The sequence below is a fragment of the Homo sapiens genome, chromosome 18 (assembly GCF_000001405.40).
Source record: "Homo sapiens chromosome 18, GRCh38.p14 Primary Assembly".
Classification (NCBI taxonomy): domain Eukaryota; kingdom Metazoa; phylum Chordata; class Mammalia; order Primates; family Hominidae; genus Homo; species Homo sapiens.
The window spans coordinates 14,946,267-14,974,070 of NC_000018.10; the positions used below are offsets into that span (position 1 = coordinate 14,946,267).

The following is a 27,804-nucleotide window of genomic DNA, read 5'->3' on the forward strand; positions in this document are numbered from 1 at the left end:
ACTTCAGGCCACTCCTGCACCCCGGGACTTTCACTCTGAGAAATCCTTTACCGTGGAAGCAGGTAACATTTTTGTGAGACACTTTTGTGATGTTTGTGATTGAAGTCTGTGTGAAGTTCTAGCCTGGGTGGAGGGAGGGTGCCCAGGGCCAGGGATGGGAGAGAGGCTGTAAAAGATGAAGCAATCATTGAAAATCTGAGACTTCATCAGAAACTTTCCATTCAGCTCAGATCTTTGCTGAGACTGACCTTCCAACTGGATTTAACTCCTGCATTTTTGCCACCAGGTTTCCAGCTGCAGAGATCTGATACCCACTCAGTATTTATCACTCTTTGGTTGTACAAGATAGAAGCTTTGCAATTCACAATGAGCCTCGGATTTCACCTGATACCATCTCCAAATCTTTGCTAGAGGGTTTCTTGTGGCCCTGAGGCCCTTGTCCTGCTCACATTTTCAGGGGGCACTGAGTGTTCTCACAATGCAGAGACGGCCTGACCTAGAAAAATGGTATCAGCCCTGGGTCAAATCCTGCCCCTCTGGGCCACATTTCCCTCATGTGCGATCACAGTGGTAATAAAACACCAACAGCCATCACTTCCAGGGGTTTGCTCTACACCAAACAGACACTATGTGCCTATTTATTATTTTATTACATTATTACCTTATTTCCTTGTCAACACATCAGTGCTAATCCCACAGGAAAGCACAGTGACTAGCCCAGATCACCAGCTGGTAAGCCGAGGGCCTGGAGTCAAACTTCAATCTGCTCTGCTCCCCTGAATATTCTCGGATTTACTGTGTTCCACAGCTTCAGGGATGATGAGAGTGTTACCTACACCAAGAGGTGTCAACAAGTGAGGGTGAACATATCAGCTGGACCAAACACTGAGCGTGTAGTTATATGTCCAAAAGAGAGGGAGATTCGGAGCTATGGACTGTTCTTTCTTCCTGAACCATCCTTTTCTGGATTTCACCTACTTCAGCCAAGCTGGTGGCCCTGGGGGTGGCTGGTGGTGAGCTCGACCTGCCACTTGTCTCTTGGGTAGGTCCCCTGTCCACATAGGTCACATGGACTCCCACCATCCCCACATTAAAATCTGCCCAGCTTACTGACATTTTAACTGCTTCAGCTTTCACTGACATCATTTTCTTCTTCTTTACATTTTCTAAATTACTGCATTACCAAGACACAGAGGCTTAAAATCAGAGAGTTTTAAAGTAAAATGTAGAAGACAAAACCAAAGCAAATCAAGCAAAAGACAAACTGTGATCCAGTGGAACTGCCAAGTGGAGATGGCCAGCGGGAGGATTCCCTGGCACTTGGCAGGGCAGCTGACATTTGTCCAAGGCTTAGCTTGAATTTCAAATTTCATCCTGGCCCTTGGTGTCCTGGCAGGTTTAGCAAGCCTGGCATTATTGTCAGAGCAGCTCATGATTTAGATGATGTCAGAGTGTTCAGGCTGGACCAGTGGAGACATTCACATCTGCAAATAGGACTGGAAGGGGCGGCAAGAGTCAGAGACAGACAGTCAAGCATCTTGGCTCTGCTACCACTTCGTGATGGGGAGGCCAAGTTATGCGATGCATTCCAGCTCAATCAATTTCTGGAGATGGGCCCTTTGTGGAATCTTCTTCATCAGAAAGTGACTAATACCTTCTATGATGAAGCCCTCCTCCAGCTTTGCCCGGCCAGGTAGGCTCCTTTCCCTTCTCCTGCAATGTGTGGTGCATCCCGCATGCTGCTGTACCACGGTTAGGGGCATTCAAGTGTGGGTTTGCATCATGAGATTATGAGCCCACCGAGGACAGGGGCCTTTGTGTTCCCAGCTCTTAGCATGTTTCAAACTTATATTTCTAGCTCTTAGCATGTTGCTGACTTATATGAGGTCCCTTTATAGATGTTGACCAACTTGAATTATACTGAATGGAAACAGACACAACTCAGGGAGGTGTAGGTAGTCCCTTCAGTTCCAGGGATGGGCACCAAACTCCTATCCTGGCTCCCAGCAGCTGGGAACCAGTGGGCTGGGTTCTACCGTGGTCTGGAACTGTGCAAGTGGCAGGTGTCATTTTGGAGGCCTTGAACTCTTGTGAGGGGAGATGCCCAAGAACCTCTTGCAGCCAATTTCGATCCTGTTTGGGGAGCCTCCCTCATTTCTTTCCCAAGTAGCTAAAGGGCAGCATTCTGGCACTTGTTTTTGCCTTCTTCACCCATCCTGATAGGGTTTCCTTCTCCCTTAACCATCAAGAAGAGGTACAAAGAGCCAGCGAGGGAGCACCTCAGGTACTTCTCAGGCAGGGAGCACAGTCTCATTGCTGCTGAGCAGGTTAAGAAATTGTCCAGGTTGTGCATCAATTGCTGGCTAAAGAATGACCTTCAGAAGGCCCTGGGATGCCCTACTTGATGCTCTTTTAGCCTCATCTGTTCTGATTTGGGCTTTGGAAATATATCTTCAGCTCGCACTGAGAAATTGTCAAAAAATACACCATTTGTCTGTCTATGTCCTCATGTAGTTGTAGCTGAGAACACATAATGTCTTCAGTAAAGGTGGTGCATGGAGAAATCTCTCTGATCGGCATTCTAGGAGCAGCTGTGCCCCTCCACAGCAAAACAAACAAATAATAACCTCATAGCCAATTTGGAGCTCACTAATAATAACTCTCAGGCCCCCAGACAGCAACACCACAGAGGCTGGAACCATGCAGTTTTGCATACGAACGTCTCTCCTGACCTCACTCTATCTTTCACCCATTTTTTTTCCTTTTTCTTTTGTTCCTTGACCCACTTATTTTACATTTGACTTCATCTTGCTTGGTTCTATATATCTTTTTGAGGTGCCTTAATGTTTTTCTTGAACTGCTTTGAGTACAGATCCATAAGTGCTTAAATAATAGATTATTGTACCCTGGCAGAGTTGTCATAAATCCTGCCTTCATCCTGGGCTTAATCTCTATGGCTGGGGAAAAGGGAAATCACATATACATGCAGACAGCTGGCTTGGTGGTTTTCTTACTTAGTCCTCACAGCAACCCCACAAAGTTATTTTCTCTCAGTTACAGATGAGAGAATTGGGGCTAAGAGAAGTTAAGTGGAGGTAGTGTGGTCTGCTCAAGAAACTTTTTCATTATACAAAGCATGGCTTTGCCACATATCAGTTTGGGGAATTTACATGAGAGTTAACCTCCCTAAGTCTCAGTTTCCTTACACATAAAATACAGATGAAAATACTTTAGAGAGCTATTATAAGCAATATGCTTCGTGAATATATAAAAGTTATATTGGTGCTTGAAACATGAGAATCAACAAGTGCCAGGTCCAACCCTCCTCAGTTACATACAACCTGTCATCCTCAGTGATGTGGTCCAGGCTGAACCACCTAGCCTGACCCTGTGCTCTGTCCTATACCACTCGGCCTTTCCACAATGCCAGCAGCCACTCAGCAGGCACGTAAACATCCACATGCATGCTGCATTGAGGAATCTGTATGCTTTGGGCATAGGTGACTTGCTGAGCAGCAGGAGATAGAAAAGTATTGCTGGGCCCAAATTTGAACAGAGGAATGCACAATTTAAGATTTCCAATGTTAGTGCCTAGATTATATACCAGAAGAGCTCTGCTATGTGAAAAGCAAGAAATATATTGCATCTTCTGGGTCAGTTTCTCAACCCCAGATGGAAGTGACCTTACTGAAGCCACACGGCCAGAGTGGGCCCAGGTGTTTCCGTGCTCCATGTGGTTGGCAAGTCTGTGGCTGACAAGGCAGCTTTCTCAATGGAGATGGACCCACAGGGGCAGTTGGGACCTGTCTTCTAGGCAGTCCACAGACAAGGGCATCAGTCTAGAGACAAAGGCATAAGAAAAGATCTTGCCAATCCCTCAGGGAGTAGTCTTTCAGAAGGTCAGTGTGACGAAGGCCAGGAAACAGAGGCTTCTCTGCAAAGCTTAGGAACGTGATTTCAGGGTAAATTTCCTCGCATGATTGCATTTTATTGCAGAGTCATTAGGATAATATTGCTATTCTTTCCACACCAGTGGCATCTCTGCCTGATTTTCATGTTCTGCTAGTTCTTTGTTTTTGTGCTGAGAGCAGGTTATTTTTGTAAGGCAGAGGTTAAGAGGGATGGACACAGAGCCATTTGCCAAGGTCAGGCTGAAACCATCAGCTTCTTCCTCCCCATCCATCAGGGCCGTCTCCAGGCAGGAGTCTCCTGGAGAGGCAGAGATGTAAGCCCCATCTCTCAGACACCTTGGGACTGAGATTCACACACTAGCTCTGTGTGATGAAGTGGAGGCTCTTGTACCCTACGTGCCTCTAAGTTTAAAATTGTGGACAGGTGCAGAATGCTTGTGAGTACATGATTTATGTGGAGTAACCATCTCGATCAGTCCTCGAGCTTTATAGAGGCCCTCAGCTGAGGAGCCATGTGTTTTCACAGAGGTTTAACAGAGAGAGAATGGCTTCATCTATGAAAAAAAAAAAAGGCATTGCTCTGGTGTCAGGGGTTAGAACTTGGTTCGGATACCGTTCCTGTCACTTACCCATCGAATCACCTTGGAGGAGTGACTTTAAGATTCCTGATCCTTCGTTTTCTCGCCTATAAGGAGAGGTGATGATTCTGCCCTGTCTGCTGATAGCGCTGTTGTAAAGATGAAATGAGCTATTGCAGATGAAAACAGTTTTCACGATCTAAAGCAGAGTACAGACATCAGCTGTAAAGCACAGTCACTAAGAGCGAAGATTTTGGAGTTTACCTGTTTGAGTTTGAAGCCCAGATCTTCCACTGATAGCTGTGTGATCCTGAGTGCTTTGATTAACATCCCCAACTATAAACTTTTGCTAAGCAGAATTCCTTCAAAAATTTGTTATAATATTTACATGCATTAATACATGCAAAGTACTTATGTTAGTATCTGGCACATAGTAAATAATATTTACTGTTTGTTGCTCTTGATGTTTTTGTTACTGGTTGTGTTATTATGACTTGTGGTTTGTTATGATTGTTTATGTCATTGTAGACTTGACTGGAGCAATTCACAGTGCCACTATCTCTGGTTACAACTCATGCTTCCAGAAGCCAATCTAAGTGCAGGATTCTATGTTGATCCTTCCTGTTGTATTAACAGAATCATAAGGCATTTGAACTGGGCAGACTCTACTTTCCAGCATACTCTATGTTAAGTTGCAGCCCTGCACCATTTACATACCCCCCTGCAATGTGGGAGGGTTTCAATTTCTCAGCATTTCTGCCAATGCTTATTGTTCATTTTTTTAAAAAAAATATCCATTGTGATGGGTATGAGTGGCATGTGACTATGGTCTTGACTTGCCTTCCCCTGGTGACTCATGGGGCAGAGCATCTTTTCATGGGCTTCTTGGCCATTGATAAAGTTCCGGGAGAGATGCCTATTTAAATTATTTGTTCACCTTAATTGAAATATTTTCCCTTTCATGATTGAGCTGTAAGACGTCTTTATTCTTTATACTAGACTCTGGTCAGATTATAGTTTGCAAATATTTTTCCCATTCTGTGGGTCAGTTTTTTACTTTCTTCATAATATCTCAGTCTCACTTGCTGAAAAGATGATTATTCGTTATTGAATGGGCTTCGCATTCTTGTTAAAATCAGCTGAACATATGTGTGTGGATATTTTTCTGGAGTGTCAGTTCTGTTCCTTTGCTTTATGAGTCTATCTGTATGCCAGCACCACACTGTCTTGATGACTGTAGCGTGGCCCTGTGTTTTGAAATGTGTACGCCAACTCTGTTTTTGATTTTTTTCCTCTTTAAGATTGTTCTGGCTTTTTGGGTTACCTTGAATGTCCATATGAATTTGCAAATCACCTTGTTCATTTAAAAAAGCAGTGAAATTTTTATTAGGATGGCATATTTGAAGATTGATTTTGTACATATCACCATCTTAACCATATTAAGTCCTCTAATTCATAAAGATGGGATGTGTTTCCATTTAATTAGGTCTTCTTAAATTTCCTTCAACAATGTTTCATAGTTTTCAATGTAAAGTCTTGCACTACTTTGGTTAAATTTATTTCTAAGTATTTTTTAATGCTATTGTAAATTAAAAATTTCATTTTCAGAAATTTTATTGCTACTTTATAAAAATATAACTGATTTTTATTTTTGTATATTTATTTCATACCCTGTATCTTTGTTGAATTTATTGTCTATAATACTTTGTGCATATGTGTGTATTATTTGGTGTTTCTTTAATGCCATCTACAGATAGAAAGAGTTTTATTTCTTCCTTCCCAATCCTTATATGTTTTATGGCATTTTATTGCCTAATTACGCTGGCTAGAATTTATAGTATAATGTTAAACAGAAGTAGTGAGAACAGAAATCCTTGCCTCCTTCCTGATTTCAAGGGGAAAGCATTCAGTCTTTCATCAGTAAGTAGGAGGCTGGCTGTGGGTGTTTTGCAGATGCTCTTTAACAGGTTAAGGAAGATCCCTTTTATTCTTAGTTTGCTGTGTGTTGGTATTATGAAGGCGTGTTGGATTTTGTCAAATACTTTTTCTAACTATATTGAGGTAATCATCTCCTCCTTTTTATTCTTTTATTATAGCATATTACATAGATTGATTTCCCTATGTTGAACTAGCTTTGCACTCTTGGGATAAATTCAACTATGTCATGATGTGTAATCCTTCTTATATGGTGCTAGATTCATTTGCTAGTTTTGTTGAAGATTTTTACATCTGTATTTATATAAGGAATATTGTTCTGTAGTTTTTCTTGTGAGTCTTGTCTGAGTTTGTTATTTGGTCTTATAAAATAAGTTAGAAAGTGCTTCCTTCTATTTTTTGGAAGGGTTTGTGAAGGATTAGGGTTAATTATTTAAATGCTTAAGAGAATCCACTAGTAAAGTCATCTGCTGTGGGCTTTTCACGTGGGAAGGATTTTTTGTAAATTATTATTAACTTCTGTAGCTCTTATAGATGTATTTACATTTTCTATTTCTTATTGAGTCAGTTTTGTTATTGTTGTTATTTGAGACAGGGTCTCACTTTGTTGCCCAGGCTAGAGTGCAGTGGTAAAATCTTGGCTCACTGCATTCTCAAATTCCTGGGCACAAGGGATCCTCCCACCTTAGCCTCCCAAGTAGCTAGAACTACAGGCATGAGCCACCATGCCTGGCTAGTTAAAAAAAATTTTTTTTTGGTAGAGATGGGGTCTCACTATGTTGCCCAAGCTGGTCTCAAACTACTGGGCTTAAGTGATCCTCCCACCTCAGCCTCCCAAAGTGCTGGAATTACAGGCTTGAGCCACCACAGCTGGCTTTGAGTCAGTTTTTGGTAGGTAGCTCATGTCCTAAAAATTTGTTTGCTTCATCTGAATTATTTGATTTGTGGCAAATTGTTTATAGTATTATTTTATAATCTCTTTTATTTTGTTCCAGTTGGAAGTAACATCCCCTTTTTATCTGATTTCAGTAATTTAATGTTTAACTCTTTTTTTCTTGATTATTTTACTTAGAAGTTAGTCAATTTTGGTGATATTTTCAAAGAAACTTTTTTCTCTTTTTTCGTCATTTTTTATTTTGTTTATCCATAGTCTAATCTTAATTATTTCCTTCCTTTTGCTTGGTTTAGATGCCATTTTCTCTTCTTTTCTTACTTGTTTAGACAAAAAGATGAGTTTATTGATTTACAATCTCTAATGTTTTTAATATAGGCCTTTGCAGCTCTAAATGTCCCTCTGAGTGCTGCTTTCATTGCATCCTATAATGTCTGGTGTGTTACGTTTTTGTTTTCATTCTGCTGAAGCTATTTTATAATTTCCCTGTGATTTCTTCTTTGGCACATTGGCAATTTAAAAATGTCTTAATTTCCATATATTTGAAAATTTACCAGATTTCCTTTTGTTATTGATTTTAGTTTTATTGCAGTGGCTTGAGAACATAGTGTTATATGATTTCAATCCCTGTAAATTTATTGGGGCTTGTTGTATAGCCTAAAACATGGTCTGTCATGGAGAATTTTCCATATACACTTGGGAAGAATGTATATATTTTTTCCATTGTTATGTAGAGTGCTCTGAAGCTGGTTTATAACACTGTCCAAGTCTTCTATTTTCTTTGCAATATGCTATCTAGTTTTTGATCCATTATTGAAAGTGAGATATAATAGTCTAATATAATAGTATAATAATCTCCAACTATTTTCCTAAATTGCATATACCTTCCTTCAATTCTGTCAGTTATTATTTCATTTATTTGCATAAAATTTACAGATATATTTTTACCTTTTTGATAAATGTACTCTTTTATAGCTATAAAGTGTTGTTATTTAATGAAAATTTTTCTCTATTTTGTTTGATACTAGTATAGTCACTCCTGCTCTCTTTTGGTAACTTTTGCATGGTATATATTTTCCATCATTTTACCTGCAACCTATTTTGTCATCGAATCTAAAAGGAATGTCTTGTAGATAGCATATAGTTGGATCATTAAAAAAATTATTCTGCTAATATCTGCTTTTACTTGCAGAGTTTAATCCATTTTCATTTAATGTAATTGTTTATGGGTAGGATTTACATCTTCAGTTTTGCTATTTGTTTTCGTATGTCTTATGCCATTTTTATTCCTCAATTTCTCTATTATTGCTTATTTTTATTGCATGTTAAATTTTTCTAGTTTACTATATTAATTTTCTTACCATTTCTTTTACTGTATATTTTTGAGTGATATTCTTAGTGGCTCCCCTAGGAATTACTAATAACATCTTAATTTATAACAATATTCAAATTAAAACAAACAATTTCAATCATAAGAAAAACTTTGCTGTTAAATAACTCCACAATCCTTTTATGTTGTCATTGTCACAGATTACATCCTTATACATTGTGTGTATATTCCCTTGTGCAGTTTTTTTATTAGATAGAGGAAAAAGTGGCATAAAAATAAATTAATATTGTCTTTATATTTACCTATATTGTTACCTTTACCATTGCTGTTTATTTATTCATGTTAGTTTGAGTTACTGTCTAATGTCCCTTTATTTCAACCTGAAACTCCCCCTGTAATATTTCTTACAGGGCAGGTCCTCTAGTGACAAAGTCCCTCAGTTTTTATTTATCTGTGAATATGTTAATTTTCTTTTCATTTTTGAGGGATAGTTCTGCTGAATATAGTATTCTTAGTTAACAGGCTTTTGTTAATTTGATATATTTCGGCACTGCCTTATGGCCTTCATAATTTCTAATGAGCAATTATCTCTTATAGTTATCGCAAACTTCTCGTACATAAAGAGTCACTTCTTTCTTGCTGCTTCCAAGCTTTATTTTTTTAATCAACAGTTTGATTATGATGTGCCTTATAGTGGCTCTTTCTAAATTTCTTACTTGGAGTTAGTTAAGCTTCTTAGATGTATAAAGTAATATTTTTTCATCAAATTTAGAAATTTTTGACTATTATAACTTCAAATCATTTTTTCTTTTTTCTTTATGTTCCATGAACTAAATAATTTCAATTGATTTCTTATTAAGTTCACTGATGATTTTTCTTCCTGCTCAGATATGCTGTTGAATACCTCTAGTAAATTTTTCAAGTCAGTTATTGTACTATACAATTCCAGGGTTTCTATTTGGTTCTTTTTCTATAATTTAAATGCATTTATTGATATTGTGTTTGGTGAGATATAATTATCATTTCCTTTAATTCTTTAGACATGATTTCCTTTAATTCTTTGAATATACTTAAAATCAGTGATATAAGGTTTTAGACTAGTAAGTTCAATGTCTGGACTTCCTCTGGATCACTTTCTATTTATTCCATTTTCCCTGCCATACTTTTTTGTTTCTTTGCCTGTCTCCTGGTTTGGTTTTTTTGTTGAAAACTAGACATTTTACGTTATATAGCATGGCAACTCTGCAATTCAGTTTCTTCTCCCTCATAAGAGTTTGTGGCTATTGCTGCTTGTTGTAATTATTGTTTATTTAGTATCTTTTTCTGAACAAATTCTGTGCAGTCTATATTATTTATTGTGTTCAGCCACTAAAACCTCTATTCAATTTAGTTGTCAGGTAATGATTGTACAGACATTTCTTTTCTTTCTTTCTTTCTTTTTTTTTTTTTTTTTTTTTGATACAGAGCCTTGCTCTGTCACCCAGGCTGGAGTAAAATGGTACAATCTCAGCTCACAGCAACCTCTGCCTCCTTAGTTCAAGTGATTCTCCTGCCTCAGCCTCCTGAGTGGCTGGTATTACAGGTGCACGCCTCCACACCCAGCTAATTTTTGTATTTTTAGTAGAGACCGGGTTTCACCATGTTGGTCAGGCTGGTCTTGAACTCATGACCTCATGATCCACTCATCTCAGCCTCCCGAAGTGCTGGGATTACAGGCATGAGCCGCCACACCTGGCCAGGTATTTCTTTAAACACCTAAGACCAATAAATATTCCAGTCTTTGCTGAGGGAATTCTGCATGTGTGTTAAGGCATGTCTTCAATGGTTTAAAAATCTATCTTAGCCTTCACTTTCTGCTTGAACAGAGCCTGAAACTCAGCCAAAAGTGAGAGCTTAGGGCTTTCACAGATACTTTCCTGAGCATGTGCATAGCTCTACATATATTTATAGATGTCTATATTTCCATGAATATGTCTGATATTTTTAAAATCTCTGTGAACATCTTGCTTTTCAGCAGGCTCTTTTAAGCTTTCTGGTTAATATATGTTATTTGATCCAACTGTTATCCACCATATCTGGCAAACACAACATTTACAACACTTGCCTATAATTTTTTTTTTCAAATTCCCTCTCAACCACTCTTTTTGTAGATGTTTTTAACAGCGCATAAGATCTAAGTAAGGTTACATAAAGAAAATCCTTTCCAGCCCAGTTTTCTAGGGAACCACCAGACAGTTCAAATAATTGCAATTCTTTGGGAATTAGGATCTAACTCCATTCTGCTCCTTTCTGTGATAGAAATGCTGTTATTTTTCAAGACTATGACTTCACTGTGGAAGGGTGGGTGCACCTATGGCAAGTTAAAACACAAATATTGAGTTCTTGTGGAGATCTAGCCTTTTTTTAATACATGCTTCTAACATTCTTTAAGCCTTTGGTTAATTGCCTATGTTTTGAAAAAGTTGACACTGAATCTGACAATTCTTTTCAGATTTCTGTTGCTTTTATGGAGGGGGAGATTTTCAGAGGCTCTTACTTCATTATTTTTACTAATAAAATTTCACTCTGGTTATTTTAATGAAGAGAATGTAATTTAAAAACTCAATATGCCATATTTAATTGCTTTTAGCAGTTCTGTGATATATAGAGTTGTTCTACATGGGAAGATACTGAGACAAGATACCAGAAAAAATATTAAAACAAAAGTATTGTTATATAAAAGTTGCTTAAAATGCTAAAAGATCATTGATAAGAGGAAAAATGATGTTTGTGCTTAAGATCAGTGAAGTCCAACATGTTCAGTGATGTAGAGATAGATAGACTAAAATTTCCCATGGCCCCATTCACTGGAGGGTTTATTTACTCAAGCTGAGAAGTCGGTAAGACAGGAAGAACGAGGTGATCTTGGAAAGGAGACACCAAGAGGACCAGATTTATTCTCTCAGGAGGACAATGGTCTCTCCTCTTTCATCACTAATCAATGTTCCAGTGGCACCCCAAATGATAGCCTCATTGAGTCCCTCATGATTTCACCATCCCCACTCCTTGGGATGCAGGCATGTGTCACTTTCCCTCCCAGGCCTACAGTGCTGTGCCAGCTTGGTTTCACTTCTCAGACCAACACTTTCCTTAGGGGATGACAAGAGCTGAGGCTCTATATCCACAGGGACTCAATAAATGAAGAATGGAGTCAGTCCAAGAGGCAGAATGACCACTGTGATTCGGGAGATGGAGTCAGCCTTAAACTTAATATGTAGATTCATTGAACAGCTATTGGAGGACTGGCAAAGGAAAAGGGAACACTGAAATAGCAAAAAAAAAAAAAAAAAAAAAAAAAAAAACTCAAGTATTTTTTTCTCTATTAGGAATATGACTACTTCTTGAGATCCTCATAAACATTCAATGAGATAGCATGTAAAGTATTCAGCAATGAGATATCTCAAAAAGATTTACCAATGAAAGATTGTTTACTCTCTTCTTACCACCCATCATGAATAAATTGCTATAAATGTATTACCAATTGTAAATATGCATTCTAAATTTGAAGCTGCTATAATGACTACTGATCCTTTTATCTTTTCCAATGTCATGTGTATACTTTCTTTAGTCATATGATTAGACATTTTTGCATATTTAATTTTATTTTCCTATACCCCAACCCCCTCCTTATCCATGAAAAATATCTTCCTAGACTCCAGTGAATAGCTGAAATTGTGGATAGTACCAAACCCTATATATATATTTTGTTTTTTCTTATATATTCATACCTATGATAAATTTTAATTTATAAATTAAGTACAGAAAGAGATAAACCATAACAACTAATAATAAAATAGAACAATTATGATAATATTTTATAATAAAACTTACATAAACATGGTCTTTCTTTACAAATATATTATTGTACTTAACTCACCTTTCTTCTTGGGCGCTGTCAATCTGATAACCTAGACTGCTGCTATGAAGAGTAAATATGCTGGACAAGGAATGATTCATGTTCCACGTGGGACAGAGCAGGACAGCATGAGATTTTATCATGCTACCAGAAAGGCATGCAGTTTAGAACTTGTAAATTGTTTATCTCTAGAATTTTCTATTTAATATTTTTGAATCTCGTTGACCAGAGGTAATTGAAATCACAGAAGGAAAACCTCAAGTACAGGGAAGTACTGCATTAGGTTTGGCTTAAATCAAACTCCATTTACTGATGAGTTGGGCAGTTGGGAGAGGGAGTGGGTGTCCATCTAGGAATGCGTTCTCTCAGATCAGGACCATGAATGGAACTGTGCGACGTTTGGTTCATGTTTATTACTGCTTAGAAATGTCTTCAAAGCTCAATCATAGGAATAATGTCAACCCTAACTGCAGCAGTAATTAATACTTCTCTTTTTGTTGGTATTAACTTTATTACTTATTTTATAGTATTGGCCTTATCGTAAATGTTTTTGTTATAAGACAGATCTCATCCTTTTTTGGGGTTTGGGAGGTGGGAACAGTAGAACATGAAGATACATAATAAGTCCCATACAATAGTTAATAATAAGTCACCAACAGGATTATTCCTAACTCCAGCCCTCCAAATGCTGGGGCATGGATGTATGTGTGCAGGAATGGCATCAGACTAGACACAGACTGGCACAGAGCCTGCCAAGGTGAAGACAATGCACCTTATAAAACAGTTACAGTAACATCTATTGCATACATGAAAACAATTTGCAGCAGATTAAATACCCTTAAGAAAGGAGGCTACCAGACGAACCACCTCAACACCAAAGCAGGGTTTGGTCGGCATCTGACAGCGCTGTGGACAGTGGCCAGATGTGGCCCAGCGGCTCTCCTTGGATCTGACAGCACTGTGGACAGTGGCCAGATGTGGCCCCAGCAATCTGACAGCGCTGCGGACAGTGGCCAGATGTGGCCCAGCGGCTCTCCTCGGGCTGTTTCTTCCAGGAGCATGAGCTTCTTCTCTATTTCGGTGAGATTCTCTGCCTGAGTTGGCGTTCTGAGGAGCATTCAGAAATTGTTTGTTCTGAATTTCTAAAACACGAACTATTAGAAAAGGACAAAAAAAATCTACAGACTGTGGGAAAAGTTAGTGTCAAACAAATACAAAAAGGAAAAGTTGAGAACAGCAAATGGTGGCTGTGTTATGTGGAAGTGACAGAGTTGAAAAATGATGCATTGATAAAGGGACAAAAAAAATCCGGAGGAGGAGGAGAAGCAGGAGGAGAAGGAGAAGGAGGAGAAGGAAGCTAAAATAACCATTCTTGGTTTGATCTGGATTTATGTTTCTTCTTCATTAGGTTTGTTTATTGCAGCATTTCTGCCATGGTGAACTAAGTGCTCTCCATTTTTCCCTATCAGTTTCTTCTTATCCAGAGACCCTGGAGTCTTTGCCCAGGGGCCACTGCCTGGTGATGAAAGTCATATTGTTCAGCTTCCATAAACAACCTCCACTCTCATGATTAGCATTGGAAAATCAGCTGAATCTTAGCCTTTAGCTTCACAGTGTATGTCTATCTGTCTGTTTTATTTTTACAAAAGGCGGGGAAAAATTAAATACTTAAAAATAACAATTGAGTAATTTCAACAAAAGATTGTGATCAGATCAGGCTCTTGGGGAATGCAGAATCAGGACCTCTCCCTACTCTTCTCACCACTAATTGTTGCCATGCAAAGTATCGTATACTTTAATTGTCTGAGTATTTAAATCTACCCACTAAGCATATTTCTTTGTTTCTATAAAATGAAATGAGCAGATTTATGGACAGATGTATGAGTTTGTCTCAGGGTCTAGAAATCTTTTTTTCTTTCTCTCTTCCACCTAGGTCCAAGTCTATAATTTAAGTTTTAAACTTTCTAAATAAAAAGTTGATTTTAAATTTAGCATTAGCAGAAGGTCAGCAGCAATTGGTAGTGTTGGCTTGATGCTGGGGGAGAGGTAAAGGGTTGGTGTGACAAAAGTGGTGAAGGGATGGGTTGGGAGGCCATGTGGGTGAGAGGAAGGTAAGGAGGGAGGAAGCCTGTGCCTTCTGTTGGCAAGATCTGCTGTTCTTAAAACATCACTTTGAGTTATTGAATGTGTTAGTCCATTCAGGCTTCCATACTAGAATACCATAGACTGAGTGGCTTACAAACAACAGAAATGCATTTCTCACAGTTATGAAGACTGGAAGTCCAAAATCCAGGTGCTGAGAATTCAGTGTCTCGTGACAGCTTACTTCCTGGTTTATAAGCAGCCGTCTTGTCACTGTGTCCCCACATGGAGGGTGAAAGAGCTCTCTGGAGTCTCTTCTAGGAGGGCACTGATCCCATTCATGAAGGCCTCACCTTTATGATCTAATCACCTCTCAAAGGCCCCACCTCCTAATACCATCACCTTAGGTGTTAGGAGTTCAACATATACATCTTGAAGAGACATAAACCATCATTCTGCAGCATTCAGCTCCTGGCCTAGAATGCTTCTAACATGCAAAATGCACTAATTACATCCCAATAGCCCCAAAAGTCTCAACCCCTTCAGTGTCAACTCTAAATCTCAAATCGGAAGTCTTATATAAATATCCTCTAAATTAGATATGGCTAAGACTCAAGGTAAAAGTCATCTTGAAACAAATTTCTCTCTAGGCAGGAATCTGTGAAACTAAATGTTATGTGCCTCCAGAGTAGAGTAGTGCTGCAAGCATAGGACAGACATTTCTCCCAGAGAGAGAAATAGGAAACAAGAAAGGAGTAATGGATCTCAGGCAAGTCCAAACCACAAGGCAAACTCCCTGGAATGAAGAGCGTTGAACCCGATTTCCTTTGGCTCAATGATCTGCCTTCCAGGCCCACTGGGACACACTGCCCACTTGCTGGGCCTACTGGGTTCAGCAGCGTTTGTTCATTCCTTCCCAGGTTGGAATTTTCACATTGGAATCTTGGAAGGAAACAAACTTTCAATCTACATCACTGGATTATCTGTGAAGCTATGCATACTGTTTCTTAAATGTCTATTCACTCATAGACAACTTTGCATTTTATATCTGGCTGCCGCAATTTTATCATTTACTAATTTCTTTCTCCAGGAAAACCACAGTACATAGGGAGTTAATAGATTCTAGGCTCTAGTGCTGACTTGATCACAGGTTTCTGTCTTTTGCCCTCTGCATACCTAGGTTATGCTGTACAATTGGAGGCATTGTACTGATCTCTTCCTACCACACTGAATATCGCATGATATCCTGAAAGTGATCTAGATGAAGTTGTGCCAACAACATCATGACCTGCTGGATTCCACACTTCCCAGTGCAGCAGAGCCCTGACCTCACTCTCACATGCCTTATGTCCCTGGAATCACGTAACAGCCACCGCCAGGCAGTCATCGCAGAGGTAAACTTCCACGTATTGAAACCAGATTTCCACAGCTTTGTTCACTGGCTTGAAGCTGTAGCTGAAACATTTTATCTGCTTTTAAAGCAGAAAGAAAAGCATATAGGAGAAGAAATGTCAATCGTTTCTTATAATAGGGAAAGCAGAACATTTCCTGAAGCCTTTATAAAATCCTATTTACATTCCAGAACTGCATCAGATGTCCACGCTTAGGGGCCGAAGAAGTAGAATTCCAGGAGTCATAAGGAAATATTCAAGTTGGTAATTTTATGTAGATTTTAAAACAGCAATCTGCATCTCTCACCTCACTTCCACACGAGACTGGAATTCCACGTTCTGTCTCTGACACCCTCCAGCCACAGTTCCCACAGTTATACGAGGCCTCCTTGCCCCATCCCAGCCCTCGGCTGCCTCTGCGGGTGGAGATGGGGAGGAAGGTCTGTGACTGATGAGATGAGACTCAGTGAGACAAGAGACCTGTGCTTCCTCCTGGGTGGACCGGGGCTGAGTTCACAAGCTGGTCAGGGCTGAGCTCTAAGGCCACGTTCTGGCCACAGGCCACCTTCCGGGTGGAGGAGCAGCAGGGAGGGCCCTGCTGGAGCAGCTGGGCCCAGCCACACTCAGCTTTGCCCACCAGTCAAGCCCAGCCTCACAGAAGCAGGTTCAGTAAGCCCCCCATGCTTCCCCAGGGAAAGGGCTTTGTTTCATTTATGGAGGACGATGGTTCCTCACGGGAGTGGGCAGACTCTGGAAGCCTCTGAAGGGTGAAATTCTGCAGCCTGGGAAGGCTGAGAGGCAGGAGGGTTGAGGAAAGGGGGCATGGCTGACCCCTGACTTCCACAGGTTTCCTGCTGGTCAGGGTTAGGTGGAAGGGGGAGCTGGCTGGCTCTGAGGGGCATGGACCTGAGCTTCCTGCAGACAGGGGCCTTGGGGTAGGTGGTGTCCAGCAACTCACTTTGGTCTGGTCACCTGAAGAAACCACTTCAGGGCATAAATACTTCTCTGAAGCTGCTCAAGAGTATGGTCAGGCATCTGCTCTGCCGTCTGTGAGACGGCTTGCCCTGCCCTCTCTTTCGGGAAAGTGAGAGGTGGGCCCATGGATAGAGCAGGGAAAACAAAGCTGTGTCAGAGACTCCAGACTGTGTGTGCTCATGACACAACACCCGGGAAGGCTTAGCTGATGGAGGGGCGGCCTCTGGTGACAGCCAGCATGGCTCCAAGCTGACATCCTACCTTCCTAAGTTCTGGTTCCACTGCCAGCTGCCAGCTCCCACAGCCGGGCCAGTGGAGGGGCAAGATCAGTGGGCTCTGAGCACCCACTGCAAGGGGAGTCCTCTGCCAAAGACCCCTGGTTCTTAGCAGGTGCTTGGAGAGTGGGTGTTTGCAGGGATTTGGTTAGCTGTTGATAGGAATTCGGGGAAGGGGAGGAACAGGAGGCTCTGAAGCCACGTGGCCCCTGCTTATATCCTCCACAGCAGTGAGGAGAGAGTATAAGGAGCCTGACTCCATCTGCTGCACCTCCCGCTCTCTGCTCACCTAGAGGTCCCAGGGCCACTCTGCACAGCCAGGCGGGAGGAAGGACTCCAGCTGTATCATGTGCATTGGCAGAGGGACAGTGCTGCAGTGGGGATGGGGTGCTCACCCTCCCTGGAAACTCCTCTCTCCTCCCCCCAAATCACTTCATGCTTGGGGCCTTTGCTGCTCCTCCTCCTCTGCCCATGGGGCTTCTTAGTCTCCAGAGACCTAAGTTCACATAGGGCTGGGCAAGATTGAGATCAGGGGACACCTAACCTAGCCAACTTGTCTCAGAGTTTCCAAGAAGACCCCCATGCAGGGGCAAGGGTACGGAATGTAAACTGAGTCACCATGGGGGATGCAGGTCTGTGCTGCTGACATAAGCTGTGTATCTTCAGGGACGCGTTGACTCAGGGAGGGAGGCAGCTCTGGTGGACCTGCGATGCTGTGCAGCCAAGTCCTGTGGGAGATCACGTAGCTTTATTAAACATTTTGATAAATTCAGTCACACATGAGAGGAAACCCTCTGTGAATCGCAGCATTTCAGGAATCCACTTCATGAACCTAACCTGGGCATAACAGAGTGGCAGCCTCCTGGAATAGAACTGCAATCAAATAGAAAGCCATAGAAGCTCCCTTGGTGTAATGGTGATTGCCTCTTTTGAGGATCAGTGCATTTCCATTCCAATAATTCTGGGTGACACACTCCATGTGCCTCAGACCAGGGCACTGATGATGGGCCTCAGAGGATTGCAGTTTGGAGCAAGCCAGTCTGGGAGAAGGGGCTGGTGTCTGAGAACATGAGGATCTGCACACATGGTCACATTTGGAGTGACTGAGAAGCCTCTCTCATTAGGATTGCATGATGCAACTGCACAGAGACACAGTGACCTTGTTCCACTTAAAAATCCAAGTGAGCATCAAGGTTTGATGAAATCCTTTCATCAGAAAATAACTTGCTTTGGTCTGCTGAGACCTAGAGGGAAGAGAGGATTTAGAATTCTTGGAACTTTCTGTGTCTTTGTAGATTGTTAATGCATTTATTAAGCTATTTCTAAGTGTGTCTATTGCTGGTGAGTGTTTCAACCTTGAATATCACTAAAATTCATTTTCTCTGCTTCAAGCCAGTGTTCTGAGGGGGAAATGCATTCTGTGCCCTCCATGGCAAGCTTCTCTCTACCCCTCATTTTCTCTCTCCTCTTCTCCCTTCACCCTCTGCCCATCAATGACTTCTCTTTCTCCCTCATGCCCTGTCTCCCTCCCATCCTGCCCCTCTCTCCTCCTACCCTTGGTCTCTATTTACTTTCCCGCCCAAACCTTCTCCACCATCTTCTCTCTAAACAGATAGGAAAGAGGGTCCTGGTGCTGTGTTTCTTCTTCACTCTGTGCCTCTGTGCTGCAGGTGAGGGAGAAGAGTCCAGGACAGTGTTTGAAATGCCCGAAGGGTAAGAGGGGGTTAGAGAAGAATATCGAGAGAGTTGCTCTATCAAAACACCGGACTGTGCAGGTTGGCAGATGCCCATCTCTGCAGAACAGTAGCTGATTGTATCTGAAGGGGCAAGAGCAAGTGAGCTTTAGCTCACACCCATCACTGTCAGCAAACAGGGTCTCAGGCAGCGTAAAGGAGAAGCTTTATTCTTGTCATTTTTAAGCTGATATCAAGCGATTTATCTTCATGCCTGATAACAACACCTCTTGCAGCTACTTTGACCTTCAGCCATCTTCTGCCCTGGCCAAGTTTATGGTGAGGCCACTGATCTCTGGCACCTGGCACACAGGTGGCTCAGCTCTCTCATTGCACCCAATTATTTTCACCAGAAAACAAGGAAAACACCACGTGGATTCCCTCGGGATGAGATCAGGTGCACGCTGCCAGCTCAATGGGTCCACCACCCACCAGAGACTCCAGCCCAGTGTCGCAGCCGGCGGGGCGGCACCCACTGCTCTCCCACTCCAGACCTGATTTCACATTCACATGGAGCCACGGTCAGGTGGTCTTCGGTCCCATAAAGGCAAGTAGAGACACAGATGGGTCACATGGCTACAAGAAACGTCCAAACTGATGAGGATCAGGATCCTAGGGAGTTGCCAGTTCCACTGCTCTGGAGTTCAAAGTCTTCCTCTGCCCCGTAGCTTGCTGTGCAAGCTCCAGCAGAGACTGTTACCAAATCCAACAACCACAGCTTTACACACCATGGGATCTCCAGCAAGTAAGCACACATGCTGTCAACACTTCAAGCCAAAAAAGGGAGGACAGCACAGGAACACTGCCAGGCTCCCTGCAAACATAACAGGCCAGCCCCAAAGACCCCAGGAAGCGAAGTCTTCTTACTTTTTCATAATTCAGGGCCATAAAGATGCCTGATGTAAACCCTCTTACATACAGGTGAGGAAGTTGCGCTCAGAGAGGTACAGCAATTTGCCCAAATTCACATGGGGAATTAGGGCCTGTGATGGCATCAGAAACTCAGTCACCTAAACATTGGCCCATGGCTGCCTCTGCCGCACTCTGTGGGTGTCTCTATAGTGGAGATGGTATTGAGTTGTTCAGTCAGGTCTTACTGAGCATGTGTTGAATACCAGAAACTCCAGCATTTCAGTGATGAGCAAATCAGTCCCTTCCCTCATGGAGCATAGTGTGTAGGACACACACTGTAAGCAAGTGAACGCTCACTCACTCAGTGAACAATGGACACAATGTCCACTACCGAGGCCCCATGGAGACCAGCACAGGAGCAGTGCCTGGGTCCAAGGAGCCTCCTTCCATCAGGGGGGTCTATGGGAGGAATAGCCAGGCCAGGACTGGCAGGGAGAGCACCCCAGCAGGGGAGGGCCTGTGTGGAAACTACGGGGCAGAGGAAGACTTTGAGCAGCTAAAGGGGGTCAGTGTGGAGGGACTGGGCAGTGCAGGGTGTGGTATCAGGGGAACCTGGGGGGCCGGCAGGGGCCATGGCTCCCAGGAGCTTCTGGAACAGGTGAAGAAGTTTGAATTAAATACAAAATGCCACAGGATGCTACTGATGAATCATAAGTAGAAACAATGTTATTTAACATACGTTCTTAAAGATCACGTGTTTGTATGTGACTGTATGTGCATGAGTGTGTGAGTGTGTGTGGTGGTCATGCATGTGATTGTGTGCGTGTGTGAGTGTGTGGTCATGGGTATGGAAGTGAGTATGAGTGTATGCAGTGCTGTGTATGTGTGTGTGGCAGTGTGCATGTGAATGAGTGTGTGTGAGTGTATACGTGTATGTGCAAGTGGAATAGACTGGAGGGAAGCAGGAATGTGAGCAGGGTGTGTATCTGGCAGGCTGACACTGGCTGTGGTCATATCTAGATGAGAGGTGTCTGTGGCTTAGAGTCAGATGATGGCTGTAAACACAAAGAGGTACCCAGAGATTCAAGGTATACTTTGAAAGTGAAATGGTCAAGGCTGAGAGATGTGTTTAAACTGAGTGATAAGACAAAGGGTGGTGTGAATGGTAAGTCCTACATTTATGGACTCAAGCAACTGGTTGGGTAGTGGTGCCATTTACTAAGATAACCAAGACTTCAGTGAGAACAGGCTGGTGAGAGAAGGCGGCATTTGGGACACCTTCTCTGGGGGTGCCTGTGAGCTCTTCGAGAGGGTCTGCAGGGTGGGCCATTTGAAGAGGGTGGGTCTGGTCTGGAGGTGAGGCTCTGGGCACTGTTGGCAGGTGGATGATCCAGATGCCACAGCGGGAATGACATCACCCAGGGAAAGTCATGGTGTGGGATGTGGATTCAGGAATGACATCACCCAGGGAAAGGCATGGTGTGGGGTGTGGATTATGTGCTATCCTCCTAGAATGTCCTGAAGAGGCCAAGCTTTTCCTTAGAGAGCCTGGTGCCCCCTTTGACTTCCCAACATAATTGTGTGTTATTTAAACACTGCCTCCATCTCCACTGGTGGTGATGCTACCCTGCCTCAAACCTCTGAACTGTAGCAGGTCAGGTGGCAGGTCAAGGGAAGGACCTGCCATTTCATTGAGATAAAATTGACATATACAACTCTATGTATGTAAAGTGTGCAGCATGATGTTTTATATAGACACACATCGTGAAATGATTACCACAATCAAGAAAATTAACATATCCTTCACCTCACAAGTACCTGTGTGTTTGTGTGTGTGTGTGTGTGTGGTGAGAATACTTGAGATCAACTCTTTCCAAGTTCCAAGTGTCAAACACATTATTAACTAGAGTCCCCACGCTGTACACTAGGTCTCCAGAACTGACTCATCTTACACCTGCAAGTTTGTGTCCTCTGACCTTTGACCATCATCTTCCTGTTTCTCCTACCCCCAGCTGTTGGTGGCTTTCATTCTACTCTATTTCAATGATTCCAACTTTTCTAGATTCTACATATAAGTGTGTAGTATGTGATTTTCTGTGCTTGCTTTATTTCATTTAACATAATGTCTTCTAGGTTTATCTATCTCATTGCAAATGGCAAGATTTTCTTCTTGTTAAGGCTGAAAGATATTTTAGTACATGTGTCTGTGTGTGTGTGTGTGTGTGTATCACGTATTCTTAGTCCATTCATCTGCCAACCTATGGAATAAAAGACATCATTTTCAAACCATATATCTGAAAGGGGGTTAATATTTTAAATAAATAAGAAACTCATACAGCTCAGTAGTAAAATAATAAGAATAATAACCTGATTAAAAATGGGCAAAGGACCTGAATAGACATTGTTCCAAAGAAGACATACAAATGGGCAACAGGTATATGAAAAAGTCCTCAACTAATCATCAGGGAAATGCAAATTAAAACCGCAAACAATTATCACCTCACACCTGTTAGGATGGCAATTATGAAAAAGTCAAAAGGTAACCTGTGTTGGTGAGGATATGGAGAAGAGTGAACCCTTATTCACTGTGGGTGGGAATGTGAATTAGTAGAGCCCGGATGAAAACAGCCTGAAGCTTCCTCAGGAAAAGACAAACAGAGCTTTGATATGATCCAGCAGGTCCCACTTCTGGGGACAAACCCATAGGAAAGGAGGTCAGTGGGTAGAAGAGCTGCCTGCCCTCCCATGTCCACTGCAGCACTGCTCACTGTAGCAAAGACAGGGAAACAACCCAAGTGTCCCTCAGCAGAGGCCATTTGTTTTTAAAGCTATCAGGCCACACCTGGCCACAACATTGTTTTACTTTAAAAAAAAACAAAACCACGTTCTAGGGCAGGTGAAATCTGGGTGTACTCACATCTCACATTAGCATATAGTGCTCCACTGCAGAACATGTGAACTCGGCAGCTCAAGACAACCCACACAACCCACAATTATTCTATGAAAATGGTTGACTGAATAACTGTACATTTAAGCAAGTCTCAACCCCACTGTGTCTCAACCCCTACTGCCTGTGCTATCGTTAAGAGGAACTGTCCCAAGTCACTCTACCCTGTTTTGCCCAGAACCCTCCTGGTGACAGGCAGCCTCAGTGCCTTCTTCCTCCTCACTTTCTTCCCTTATAGAGTTCAAATCTCACATCTTTAGGTTTGTTCAGAACTAACCAGCAAAACTGCACCCAGCTGTTTTCCTAACATCTTCCACGTGCAGCTCCATGTATCACAAGGAAAGAGATTCCTGAATGTACAACCGAGCCACACCAAGTACAAAGCTGCACATCCTAAAATCTGCCCACTCCCTGTAGTAGCTGCTCCTGCAGCTCTCGCTGTGGGCTCGCATGGCCACTTCAGCTGTCTAAACAGAAACATTTGCATCCCCAGCTCCACTCCTTTAGCTCCTGCACAGTGAGAAAGAAAGAGCGAGTCAAACATGAAATCCATTAATATATTAATTCAGCTCAACAAGCAAAACCCAAGAGCCCCCAGCTCAGCAGAGCCTACCAGGCATGACTAATCAGATCCCTAGCTGAAGCGACGCTCTCTTCCTCGGTCCTTTCTGGAAGTGTGCCGGTTATGCAGCTTCTTCCCCCGAGCTCAGGAGACTCTGAAAAATGCAGTTTAAAAGGATGTAAATTAGGAAAATGTAAATACCCCTGGCTCCCTCACACAGGACTAGGTTTCGTGGTGGGGGAAGTTGCTTTACCTCATCGAGTCTTGGTTTTCTCATCAGTGATGACTTGCAGAGTTTTGTGTGAAGTCCCAGGGCCCTGGCCCCACTACAAGGAGCTCGAATTTAGCAGGTCTGCAGTGGGCCTGGGCAGCTGTAGGTTTAAAAGTTGCACAGTGACTGCGATGCTACCCAGCTGAATGGCATCAGCTTAGCTCATGGCTTCTCAGATGTGACGTGCAGACTCCGATTCAATATCTTTAATGTAGGCTCTGAGGTTCTACATTTCTAACAAGCTCCTGGAGGGGCCAGTGCTGCTGGCACGTGGACAACTCTTTGAGTACCCAGGTTCCAGGTCTGTGGCTCCCGGTCTTGGCTGCACTTCAGATTGGTCCAGTACCTCCTGACTGGATAAGATCTTATGGGACTGTTGGTCAGGAATCCCTACCCTAGCCAAGCTGCAGGAGTGTGACTCAAGCTGGCTGATTATCTGGATCCTCTGTGAAAGTTGATCCTGGTGCTCAGTGACTCAAAGACTGTGGAAAGTCAGAGTTCATGAATCCAGATTACAATGACATGCGAGACTGTTCCTGGTCCCCGAGATTCAGTTCCCAGAGCTACTATGGCTTATTAGGTACAGGTGCAATTTTCCTTTTGTAAGATGCTCCATATTATTCCAAATATGGCCTTTTTTATTTGTAGAAAAAATATCTTTTTGTCACTGACAATTAAAGAAATATAACTGATATTTCTGTAAGATGTAACATCCCATAATTCTGCTCTCCCTGTATCAACCTGCATGTTAGTGTTATCTTCCTTATGGGGAAGAGGTGATAGCAACCACCTGCCTGGCCCCACACCTCCACCCTCACCTGAAACCCCAGGCATGGAGAACACACTTGTCACCTCCCCTGCCTTGTGTTTGAGTTTCTCCCTCCGTAAAGAAGCGCTCTAAGGCTGGGTTTTGATAAAATGACTCCACTGATGGAGGAAAACTCCTGCCCAGCTGACTCTCACTTCTGGGAAGGACTGGTCCTGGCCAAATCATGAAGGAGCCAAGGCTTAAAGAAGGCCTTTCTTCATTCTTTTCTTCCAGTTATTTGTTCAGTTTTCATCTCCAGCCTCCTCAGCATTTGCCTGATAGGAACCTATTGATGAAATATGTCCCAAAACCCTTCACCAAAGAACTATTTATCCGTCTAGATCTTCAGTCCTGTCTGCTTTCTAATATGACCAATAGACAATCCAAGTGTGTAGTCAGTATTGGCTATTGACACCAACGGCCAATAACAGCTTAATTACTCACTGTCCTGAGGCTGCGTGCTCTGATCCAGAGACAGATTCTAGCAGTGGGTTTTAGGTACGTTTCTCAGTATCAGTCAGTACCTGGGAGAAACTTAGGATTCTTATTTCTCTCCCCCTTGCTTCCACGTGGCCCATATAGACACTTTATTACTAATCAAGGGTGAGTTGGGTGGCAAGTAATAACACTGCCCATCCCACATGCTTTTCTTACAATGTAAGCTTAACTCACCAGCCATGGAATGATGGTGTCTGTCCCCTCTCATTCAGTCTGGCTGGATCTTTGCGACTGCCCTGATTAACGGAGTACAATGAGAAGGACATGATTTTACTTCCAAGGCTAGCATGCGAAAGGTGATATGGCTTCAGCCTGGTTCTCTTGGGATGATCACTCTTAGAAGAAATTTGAAGAAGCCCAAATAGCCACATGGAGAAGCCACAAACAGATATTCTGGCTGGCAGCCCAGCAGAGGTCCCAGCCAGCAGCCAGCATCAACTGCCATGTGAAGAAGTGTGCCTGCAGGGGGTTTCAGACCCCAGCTGCCAAGCTGCTTCCAGCCTCCCGGTCTTCCAAGCTGAGGATGCAGACAGTGTGGAGCAGAGATAAGCCACCCTACAGTGCTGTTCTCAGATCCCTGGCTCGCAGAACTCAAGAGCACTATAAAACAGTTGCTATTTTACATTGCCAAGTTTGGCATTGCTTGTGGCATCAAGGACAGGAAATTCCAAGCTCTCGGTCAATGGTTAGTCATATTGTCCTGGGTTTGTTTTCAGAGAAAGCACATGACAGAGTGGCCCCTTTTCTCTCTTACCTCTCCAGTGACTGCAACGAGAAGTGCCAAGGGCCAGACAGGCTTTCTCTCTGAAAGTTCTCTTTTCCTAATACAGCAACCAGGCTTGGCTGGTTCTGCACTGAGCACTTCAGACAAGCAGGGTCCCTTGTGCTGTGACTCCATTTCCTCCTGCTATTGTAGGAATTCTCTGGTCTGGTTGATGGAGTTAAGCTTAAGGTCTGATTGTGAGTGCATAAAAAGGAATATACTGCCCAGCACTTGGTTCTAAGCTCTGAGCTGCCTTATGCATATTCTCATAAATTCTCATGAAGAATTTCCCATTGAGTCCAACCTAGTTTAATGGAATTCTGTTTGGAGACTTGGAACCAAAGCCCCAATTAATAATAAAATGTTGCTTTGCTTTCCTTTGCCAGTTTAGCCTATGCATGTATTTTCCTCAGAGAGCCCACGGAGGAGAGAGAGATGGCTAAAACAAGAAGAGATCGGTGGATGACTACATCTGCCGGCCAGAAGACCACTCTGATAGCTTTCATGAGGATGACTGCGTCTCCCAGCCAAAAGGCCACTCTGATAGCTTCCATGAGGATGACTGCATCTCCTGGCCAAAAGACCACTCTGATAGCTTCCATGAGCTCTCCCTGGGGCATCCATGGAGAAGATATTTTTGAGGGAGAAATCCCCAATGCTTCTTGAATCTTGCAGCCCACACAGGGATTTCCTACAAGCAACCCAGCCTTGAGCTATAAAGACCTGATCACTTTCCTGGGTGAAGACAGCAGACTGACTCAGTTATTCTGTGGATAGGTGACTTGATCAATGAGTTGGCGAGAGTTCTAAGATGTGTCTTTCAGGCACATATCTCAGATTTGTAAAATTATTATTTATTTATTTAATTCATTTTTTTTTTTGAGATGGAGACTCACTCTGTCACCCAGGCTGGAGTGCAGTGGCACAATCTCGGCTCACTGCAACCTCCACCTCCCAGGTTCAAATGATTCTCCTGCCTCAGCCTCCTGAGTAGCCGGGATTACAGGCACCTGCCACCATGCCCAGCTAATCTTTGTATTTTTAGTATAGACAGGGTTTCACCATATTGGCTGCACTGGTCTCCAACTCCTGACCTCAGGTGATCCACCTGCCTCAGCCTCCCAAATTGCTGGGATTACAGGCATGAACCACTGTGCCTGGCCTCAGATTTGTAAGATAATTTAAACAAGACTCAGTGTCTCTGCATCTCACACTGGTTGTATATTGCATTAAAATGGTGATAATTCTCCCCTAATCAAACTGTGCCCAATGCTGGCAAGGACACTAATGTTATGAAGACAAGAGGTAGCTGAAAAATAAAGAGACAATAGCCACGAGACAGACCCAGAGGTCAGGCAGGGCAGGGTTGCCGTGAGGACATGGCTCGTCCCACAGGACCTGGGAACTGGTGGTCACAGCAGTGCAAGGTCCTGTTCTCTCCTCTGCAGGGACAGACAGGCCACCAGCCTGACAGAGACGGCATTAGTGGGCAGCTGCCAGGAACTAGCAGGGATTGCACTAGACTTTATAGCGCCATAGTTCAGAATTGCTGGATTTGGAGACAAAATCCAGGTTTGAATTGTGATTCTATTTCTTACTGCTCCGTGTCCTGGGGCAGCCAGGTCAGCTCTCTGAGCCCTATGGTCTCCATGGCTGAGTGAGAATGCCCGCCTCCACTCAGAACCAGCCAGTGTGGTGCCAGCAACCTATCTAACACAAGCAAAGAGGATTTCTTAATGAAAACATTTTGTCTTGCACAAAACAATACTCAATTTAAGAAACAGCAAATGCAGAAAAGGAAAAAGAGGATTAGAAAACTATAGAAAGAGCTCAGTGCATGGCAAGAGTTTAATAAATATTAGTTCTTCCCATTTAGTTTTGCTTTCCAACCCAACAAGCGTGCTTCGAAAGACAGAGAAGAAAGAGGGATTATGGCAAAAGCAGTGATAAGAGTTTCTTGCATCTTCACAGATCAAGCATCTTGGTCTGCAACCAGGTTTTTCTGAACAAAGGGTTAGGAGCCAAAGTTTGGGGTGGTGAAAGCCATGGGGCCCATGTTAGGATGAGGACAAGTGTGCATATGGGTGGCAGGTGGTTTTGCCCAGA

The 27,804-nt window shown here is 42.8% G+C and overlaps 2 long non-coding RNA genes across 2 annotated transcripts; one reads left to right on the forward strand and one right to left on the reverse strand.

The window, feature by feature from the left end:
* Positions 1–27,490, forward strand: LINC01443 (long intergenic non-protein coding RNA 1443). Its single transcript, NR_104164.1, has 4 exons — positions 1–62; positions 15,804–16,017; positions 19,351–19,544; positions 26,090–27,490. It is a non-coding gene; the product is annotated as a long intergenic non-protein coding RNA 1443 (long non-coding RNA).
* Positions 23,341–24,202, reverse strand: LINC01444 (long intergenic non-protein coding RNA 1444). The gene is made up of 2 exons (NR_110783.1): positions 23,612–24,202; positions 23,341–23,512 (listed from the first exon to the last, which is right to left on the reverse strand). It is a non-coding gene; the product is annotated as a long intergenic non-protein coding RNA 1444 (long non-coding RNA).
* Positions 27,491–27,804: the final 314 nt, after the last annotated feature.